The sequence below is a fragment of the Homo sapiens genome, chromosome 8, assembly GCF_000001405.40.
Source record: "Homo sapiens chromosome 8, GRCh38.p14 Primary Assembly".
In the NCBI taxonomy this organism is placed as follows: domain Eukaryota; kingdom Metazoa; phylum Chordata; class Mammalia; order Primates; family Hominidae; genus Homo; species Homo sapiens.
In genome coordinates, this window is record NC_000008.11 from 80,613,538 (window position 1) to 80,623,364 (window position 9,827).

General features: G+C 43.3%; 1 pseudogene; it reads right to left on the reverse strand.

Moving 5' to 3' along the window:
- RN7SL107P (RNA, 7SL, cytoplasmic 107, pseudogene) lies at nt 1-279 on the reverse strand (annotated as a pseudogene).

Consider the following 9,827-nt stretch of genomic DNA (forward strand, 5'->3'; position numbering starts at 1 on the left):
GAGACCAGGTCTTGCTATGTTGCCCAGGTTGGAGTGCAGTGGCTATTCACAGGTGTGAGCCTACTATTAATCAGCACGGGAATTTAAACCTGGTTCATTTCTGACCTGGTCTGGTTCACCCCTCCTTAGGCAACCTGGTGGTCCCCTGCTCCCGTGAGGTCACCCTATTGTTGCTGAACTTAGTGTGGACACCCGATTGGGATAGCGCACTAGAGCCCAGAACTCCTGGACTCAAGCAACCTCAGCCTCTTGAGTAGCTGGGACTGCAGACATATGCCATCATGTCGGCTGGCAGCAAAAATTTTTGTATATCATTCAGAAAATTTTCATACAGAAACTTGCCTATATAGACATCTGTATGTCCCATAGACATTTTTATGCAAATAGGAGCAAACTATATGACATTAGCTTGCACCTTGCTTTTTTTGTTCAATGATGCATCTTGGAAATCTTTCCAATTTTATTTCTTAACTTTTCCCATTTTATTTCCAGTGAGACATATTTCTCCATGGCAGGAACTTTGTTATAAGTATTTTCTTTTCCTCTTTACCTCACAGTTTCTGAGAGAATACTATTAACATATGAGGTGTTTAAAAACGATTCTGGGGTTGATTAGTTGGAAGGTCAGTCTGTTCCTGGCAAAATGGGAGAAGGAGGAAGGAAAGGTTATAATCACATAGAATAATTTTTATTGTTCATTTCCACAAAAATGAGAATTGGAAAGAGTACATTGGGTCTTGTGTAGTATTTTTCTTAGCCTCTAACTGCTTGAATTTGACAGCAAATGCTTGTATTATTTGGCATGTGGGTTGCCCCAGCTCCTCTCATTTGTCGTTCAGTGGTGAGCTGTGCCTTTGGATCACCAGGTCTTCATAATCTCATATTAATGACTGATGCTCTGTGATAACAGGGCATGAAGGGAGGTTCAGAAGCCAAAGATGGCATTCATGTAGGTCTGTTGGTACACACTATACAGCCTTGACAATTGTCCTTCATTTTAAAGGCCGTGTATTAGGATAGTTGAAATCACATACAGCAGTCTTACTACTTTTTACAGTGCATCCTTCATTGAGCGTTTATAGCCTTGATTTGAGAAAACCTTTTTTGTTACTCAAATATCTATGCATTTTATCATTTAGAAATAATCATACTTAGGGGACTGCATTGTGGTGTAACCTTTCAAACATTTGAAAAGTCCCTTGCATAGTTTTAATAGTGAGTTACTACCATTTCCTACTGAATAAAGGTTAAGTTTCTTAGGTTGGGACATGATCACAGCAAATCTTGAATGTTTATTTGTGTCCAAGGATCCACGTGCCAGCAAAGTAGACTCTCTGTTCCCCAAATGTGTCCTCACTGTCTGGGCCTTTTTTTTCCCCCTTGTTTGCCTGTCTGAAGTTCCACCCATGTCTTAAGGTCCAGCTTCGACGCTACCATTTGGATTCAAGCTAGCGGACTGTGCGGTACGCTGTGTGCAGAGACGCGCCCATAGCTCTGGGGAAACAATATGGATAAGGCACGTTTTCCTCTCTGCCAGCAGCTCTGTGGGTAATGGTGGCCACAGCCAGGTGGGCAGTGCTGCAGCGGAGGCCTCACATGGGCTACAGGAGAAGAGGGAGGGATTAGTTAGTTCTGGAGATTAATTTGTGGTTTCCCAGAGGTGACACTCGAGTTGGTTTTTCAAGAGTCTGAAGACTTATTTGGACAGATGCCAGGAGTGGAAGGATATTCCAGATCTGAACAAAGGCTGTGAGTATTTTCTAGTGATGCTGGCAAATAGCCTGTGTCTAAAGGGTTCGGTGTGTGTGGAAGCGGCTAGAGCTAACCAGGCTTAGGTTCTGAAGAGCCCTGATTGTCTCAGAGCTCAGGAGTTTGGAATGGAAGGCCATGCAAGGAGTCTGTGCAAGGGAGGATTGAATGGATGATGCCTGTCTTCATCAAAGAGGTCAGGCAGGGAGAGAGGAGAGAATTACATGGGTCTCATACACACTGAGTTTAGGGTGCATCAGGGACCTCTCGCTGGTGATTTCTAATAAGATTTGGGAAGCTCAGCGGGGCCAGGAATGGGGCCGTGGGAGTACAAGTTAACAAAAGCATTTTCTCCTTCCCTATGAACAAAACGATCTTGGGTTAACTTTCTAGCCCTGTTATCCTGGAAACCTGCTAGAAGTGCTAGCTGTGTTACCAGGCAACACCGCTGATGCTAAGAATGGCTTGTGATTGGTAAGCTGCATATGGACAGGGAGGACCAGGAGTGAACATGACTGTGCAGGGAGGACGCATAGCTTTGGGCTTACTGGGTGCCCTGACTTGTAATGGGGCATTCTGCTTGCTGGGACTCGAGAGCTGTGGCTCAGCAGAAATAGTTCCTGATGGGTAGGGGCCAGGGAGGCTTCTGCACCCACCTGTATGTTCTCAGGCCCTCATCTCTGACCTGTGACTCAGGCCCTTAAAACTAACCATTGGACTTCTGGGAGCGCTCCTCCTGGTGTGCTGTTTCCTGCTCCATTCCTCAAGTGAAGCCAGCATTGAGTGAGGCTTCTTGGAGCCTGTAAGTTCTCCTAGCTTAGCCTAAGACTACCAAGAGTGGACATCTCAGGAAATAAGTCAGATTTATTTATATGTGACAGGCAAGATTTCTACTGTTCTAACGTATTAAAGAGAATATTCTGACTTCGTGTGATCAACTTGTTCCTCCACTGACCCCCTCCGGTGAGCCAGGCATGTGTCCTTAGCATTTAGCACATCAGTGCCTGTCACATGGCAGGCAATGCTCAGGCAGTAATTGTTGCATAAAAGAGATCAATAAATATTTGTTGATTACTTTCCACATTTCAAGTACTATGCTGGTTTCCAGGATACAAATTCATGTCAATGTACAGTATACTCTTTCTCTCAAAGAATTCACATTCTATTAGACAGAAAACAGAATTTGTCACAGAGTATGCAAAGGGGAATAATGAATGAATGACTCACACGGTTGATATTATTGTCTTACAGTAGCAAAAATGAACCCTCAGTCAGGACCCATTTTATATAGTATGCCTTTATTACTTCTTTTCAAATTTATATTTACATTATCAGATTTTCCTGTCTCTCTCCCTACCAATGAGTCACTAATTGTCATCATGGTCATCATTTTCATCATCATTGTCATCATAAGCGTTGGCGTCATCACTTGGAGAGCACATATTGCTTGCCAGGGATGGTGCTAAGTGACCTATTGGGATTATCTAGTTGAATCCTCTAACAGCCCTACAAGGTAATTACTAAAATTATCCCCATTTTACAGATAAGAAAACTAAGTTGGTAGAAGCAGGATTCAAAACTGGAAGGCTGACTCCAGAGCCCACTCTCCACCAGCCTGCTGCTTGCTGCCCTCTCACCTCGGGTATTTAGGTGGCCTGTGAAATGAAGCCTAGGCATTTGTGTGCTGGAGCCATAAAAACAACAAAGCTACATCTTGTGTATATATGGAAATAAAGTTAACGATTCTTCAAGTGTTTCACAGGTACAGTAGATTTAGGACAGTTGTAGTAACAATGTCTAGTTCTCTATTACAAATATGCCAAGTGAGAAATCAAAAATATTCCTCTCCATGTAGGACTTTAAAAATTTTTTTTAAATTTTTGTGGGCATATAGTAGGTGTATATATTTGTGGGTTACAGGAGATATTTAGATACAGACATGCAATGGGTAATCAGGGTAAATGGGGTATCCATTCCCTCAAGTATTTATCCTTTGTGTTGCAAACAATCCAATTATATTCTTTTAGTTATTTTTAAATACACAATTAAATTATTTTTGACTATAGTCACCCAGTTGTGCCAGCAAATACTAGATCTTACTCACTCTGTCCAATTATTATTTTTTTTGGTACCCATTAACCATCCCCCCTTCCCCCACAGCCTCTGGTAACCATCCTTCTATTCTCTATCTCCACGAATTCAATTCTTTTCATTTTTAGCTCCCACAAATAAGAGAGAACACGCAAAGTTTGTCTTTCTGTGCCTGGTTTATTTCACTTAACATAATGACCTCCAGTTCTATCCATGTTGTTGCAACTGACAGGGTCTCATTTTTTTTTTTTTTTAATGGCTGAATAGCACTTCATTGTTTATATATACCACATTTTCTTTATTCATTCATCTGTTGATGGACACTTAGATTGCTTTCAAATCTTGGCAATAAACATGGGAGTGCAGCTATCTCTTCAATATACTGATTCCTTTCTTTTGGGTATATACCCAGCAGTGGGATTGCTGGATCATGTGGTGGCTCTATTTTCAGTTTTTTGAGGAACCTCCAAACTGTTCTCCATAGTGGTTGTACCAATTTACTTTCCCACCAACAGTGTATGAGGGTCCCCTTTTCTCCACATCCTCTCGCCAGCATTTGTTACTGCCTGTCTTTTGGATAAAAGCCATTTTAACTGGAGTGAGATGACATTTCATTGTAGTTTTTGATTTGCATTTCTCTGATAATCAATGATGTTGAACACCTTTTTACATACCCATTTACCATTTGTAGGTCTTCTTTTGAGAAATGTCTTTTCAGATGTTTTGCCAATTTTTATGTCAGATTATTAGATTTTTTCCTTATATATTCTGATTAGTAATTCCTCGTCAGATGAGTAGTTTGCAAATATTTTCTCCCATTTTGTGGTCTGTCTCTTTACTTTGTTGATTGCTTCCTTTGCTGGGCAGAAGCTTTTTAACTTGATGTGATCCCATTTGTCCATTTTTGCTTTGGTTGCCTGTTCTTGTGGGGTATCAATTTTATTTGTTCACGCATAAACAAACAAAATGTTGGGCCTAAAGTTAGAAATGAATATATAATATATTTTAGTTAAAGCTCAGGCTGTAAGACTTTTTGATTGTACTTTACCATACATGGCAAGTTTAGTTTTATAGTATCCTGGTGGAAATCTCGGATAATTTTACTTTGAACTCTATGCTTTAAAGAAGTTTACAAGTGTTCTTATAGGTTTAACTGCATTAGAGTGTGCTGCCTACTAACACTGAATTCTGTCAAGCACAGGAAAGTGGAAAGACAATCTGCCCAATTTCCTTGACAAAGCTCGAAAGTTCCAGAAACGCTTTATTTCTCTCTCTCTCTTTTTTTTTTTTTTTTTTTTGATACGGAGTCTCGCTTTGTCACCCAGGCTGGAGTGCAGTGGCACTATCTCAGCTCACAGCCACCTCCGCCTCCTAGGTTCTAGTGATTCTCATGCCTCAGCCTCCCGAGTAGCTGAGATGCTGGGATTACAGGTGTGTGCCACTACGCCTGGCTAATTTTTGTATTTTTAGTAGAGACAGGGTTTCCCCATGTTGGCCAGGCTGGTCTCGAACTCCTGACCTCAAGCAATTCTCCTGCCTCAGACTCCCAAAATGCTGGGATTACAGGCGTGAGCCACCGCGCCCAGCCCCTTTTCTCATTTTTGTAACTGGCTCTCCACACATCCCTCCACCCCCTTCCTCTGATTTACTTGAGGAAAGACAGCTTGGCCTCACTTCTGCTCCCCTCCCCTCCGTCCCACTTCCTGTATGAGGCTGCTGTGGAGCAGTGCAGTGGCAGGGAAGGCCAACCTAAGGAATCTCTTTACACTCCTCTCCCTAAATCCCCACAGCACCACAAATACAAAGCCAAGTGCTTAAGAAGGGTGTCAATATGATATATTGTCCAAGGGGGACACTTTTGTTTTCTTTTTTTTTTTTTGAACAGAGTTCCACTATATTGCTCAGGTTGGTCTTGAACTCCTGGGCTCAGGTAATCTTCCTGAGTAGCTAGGACTACAGGCTGAACTGATTGAATTACACCAGGACACCAGGCACAAGGGGCAGTCCCAGCAAGCTGAGATGAACTGCACCTTAGTAAAAGAGACATTCACTGAAGGACTGTGGATGACAGAAGAAACATAGAGCGGGCAACAACTTAAAATTGACCTCCTTTTTGTTTTTTTCTTGAGATAGAGTCTTGCTGTGTAACCCAGGCTGAAGTGCAGTGACGCAATCTCGGCTCACTGCAACCTCCGCCTCCCGGGCTCAAGCGATTCTCCTGCCTCAGCCTCCCGAGTAGCTGGGATTACAGGCACACACCACTATGCCCGGCTCATTTTTGTATTTTTAGTAGAGATGGGGTTTCACCATGTTGGCCAGTCTGGTCTCGAACTCCTGACCTCAGGAGATCCACCTGCCTTGGTCTCCAAAAGGGGCTGGGATTACAGGCGTGAGCCACTGCGCCCGGCCTGGCCTTCTTGAAAGCCTCTTAGTGTCCCTGCCTTGGGAGGTCCTCAGGAGCCGTGTGGTTTCCCAGGCCTCTCCCTGCTACTCATGGCTCATATTTAGGGAGGTGGGGAGGGGGTGATGTGAAAAGTCCTTTGTCTGCACTGTCCAGGACAGAATAACCATGTGTGGTCATTTTCATTTAAATTAAACTAATTTAAAAATTCATTTTCTCCGTTACATCAGCCACAGTTGAAGCGCTCGGTGGCTGCCGTGTTAGACAGTACAGAATGCGGAACATTTCCATCATCACAGAAAGTTCCATGGGGCAGCACTGTCTTCTCACATCTCCCTGCTTCCTTCCTTAGTTCTGGGTTCCTTATCCTCCCTGCCACACACACACACACACACACACACACACACACACACACACACACACACACTGCCTCACTGTCCAAATTCCATTTGTTTATTATGCAGAAAAATGGGCTATTCAGGCTGCATCCAAAGGGCTTCTTTTCTTTCCACTAAAGAAGAATTGTCAATGTTCTCTGAGGTGTTTTCCTAAAAACCAAAGACCTGTCTGTCTTGGGAAGAATTATCACTGTCTCCCAGAACGCAGAAATGTCTACAGTCCATTCTTGTTTCTCTTAAATTATGACACTGGTTTTTGAATGTGGCACATGGAAGCAGTTTTATTACTTTATCATCATATGGTGGATAAAGAAGTACAAGAAGTTCTAAGTCAAATCCTTTGTTTATTTGGCTATAAAAAGCAAAGAGAAGAAAATGAAAAAAGAATTACAGCTCAGCCTTAGGCACAACATCAGCTTTTAAATAGAACATATTTGACTTGTACTGAGGAATAGTCTGTCTGCACTGTGTTGAATAATTTGCCAGATGGCCGTCCAAACAAATGAACTGAAGCAAAACAGGCCAGATTTATGGTTTCTTTGCAGTCAAAAATAACTTTTCTGTTATTAAAAGTAAATAATTTCATATTAAGGTGCTGTGGCTTACATAAGAACAATTTGTATTGTGAGGTACGCTAGAAAATAGAGTTATGCTGCAGAAGTCAGTAAACATTTGCTCTCAAGAAGATATTATTCATTTTGTCTAAGCAATGCCAAGGGTGTATATTTATAATCAGTTTTTCCAATTGATCATCAGATTGTAAAAATTCTAGTACCTAAGCTTCTACCGAGACATTTATTGCTGGATTTTTCTCAGAAAATCGTCTTCCTTCCATTGCTACCACCTCAAAACAAACAAACAAAAACTTAAAGGGGGAGATGCACTCTTTGTGTAACCCACTTTATAATTTTTTATTTTTTTGTGGGAAGATCAGACTCCATGTGACTGAAGTGGCCTTGTAGTTTTTATTCCATTTATTCATTTAACAAACTTCCTTTTTTTTTTTTTTTTAGATGGAGTCTTGCTCTGTTGCCCAGGCTGGAGTGCAGTGGCATGATCTCTGCTTACTGCAACCTCTGCCTCCCGGGTTCAAGCAATTCTCCTGCCTCAGCCTCCTGAGCAGCTGGGATTACAGGCATGTGGCACCACGCCCAGCTAATTTTTGTATTTTTAGTAGAGTTGGGGTTTTGCCATGTTGGTCAGGCTGGGCTGTAACTCCTGACCTCAAGTGATCTGCCCACCTCAGCCTCCTAAAGTGTTGGGATTACAGGAGTGAGCCACCACAACTGGTGCCTTTCTTTTTGAGACAGGGCCTCACTATTGCCCAGGCTGGAGTGCAGTGGTGTGATCTCAGCTCACTGCAACCTCTGCCTCCCTAGTTCAAGGGATCCTCCCACCTCAGCCTCCTGAGTAGCTGGGACTATGGGTGTGTGCCACCATGCCCAGTCAATTTTTGTATTTTTTATAGAGACAGGATTTCACTATGTTGCCCAGCTGGTCTCGAATTCCTGAGTTCAAGCAATCTGCCCGCCTCGGCCTCCCAAAGTGCTGGAATTACAGGTGTGAGCCACCACACCCAGCCTCATTTAACAAACTTTCAGATACATTTTGATGTGTATGTCATTCTAGGCAAGTGGAAGGTGGGGGTGGGTACCGTTAGGGCTGAATTGGGCAGGGACCCACGCAAGCCAGCCTTCGCAGGATTTAGGGCGCATAAAGAGTGCATTGAAAGAATGCACTAGTAACTGAGGGAGACTCGTTAGGTGCCATTAAGAAAGTACAGGCAATAGAGGATGGTGGCTTCCACTCAGGTGGAAGCAGTGGAAAGAGAATTGAGTCAATTTAAAAGATATATAGGAGATAAAATCCACTGGACTTGGTAATGGATTTGCTGCAAGAAGTGAAGGAGAGAGTGGTGTCAAAGATGACAGTGGGGTGAGAGGAGCCCATGATACTGCAAGGTAGTCTAGTTGGAGGAAAAGAATTCCAGAGAGGCAGAGAGAAGAGCCCAGGAACAAACCGCTTGTGTGGTCTCACCAAAGGGATATATGGCTGGGAAATGGGAGCAACGCCTAATATGTTGAGTGGGATTTCCAAATAGAGTGACCTGTGCCCTGCTTTTCAGAGCATGCTCCAGGGAGAGGCCATCATGGTGCCAGAGGGGCTGGGCAAGGGAGGTAATGTGGCATGGCAAGGTCTAGATGGGTCAAGAGAGCTCTTGAGTTTCCTAGGGCTCCAGAGAGAGGCAAGAGGGTTGAGGCAGGGCCAGGAGACTGGAAGGGTCCTTAGAGGGAGTAACGTGGGATGTGTCAGTAGATGTGGCATGGGCTGTGCCCCTAGAGACTGCAGCATGACCATGGCACTAAGAGTGGGTGATGGATGGTAGGGACAGAAGTCCAAGGACCTCATGGAATGGGTTTCTCTCCAGTGGACAACAGTATATATGACCTTTGGGGATCAGATACCATCAGTCTCACTACTTCCTGCCTAATGATGCATAAATGGCCGTAGGAAAAAGGGAAGGGGAAATTGGGTTGACTGAGTTAAATCAGGAACAAAAGAGCCTTGAGGAGATCCTAACTTGGTAACAGTTCAGTAACTAATGGTCATGTAAAGCTGGAGAATGGCTGGGTTAATCATAAATGAAGCTGACACTAGCCAGCATTTGGAAAAAAGAATACATTCTGAAGGCCAGGCAAGGTGGCTCACGCCTGTAATCCCAGCACTTTGGGAGGCTGAGGTGTGTGGGTCTCCTGAGGTCAGGAGTTCGAGACCAGCCTGGCCAACTCTGTCTCTACTAAAAATACAAAAATTAGCTGGGTGTGGTGGCACACGCCTGTAGTAGCTGGTAGTCCCAGCTACTCAGGAGGCTGAGGCAGTACAATTGCTTGAACCTGCAAGGTGGAGGTTGCAGTGAGCCGAGATGGCATTATTGCACTCCAGCCTGGGCTACAGAGTGAGACCCTGTCTTAAAACAAACAAAAAAAGAGAATACATTTTGAGCTTTATCTTGTACCAAAATATTCTAGATAGTAAGAAAAAATTAGTATAAATAAAAGGCAAAGAAAATACAAGGGAAATATTTGACACCTGAAATGTGAGAGGCCTGTCTAAGCTGTGAGTGGGCTGTGAAATTTTAAAGGAAACAACTGATAGATTTAATGATATAAAGATTTTAAAATGTGCAA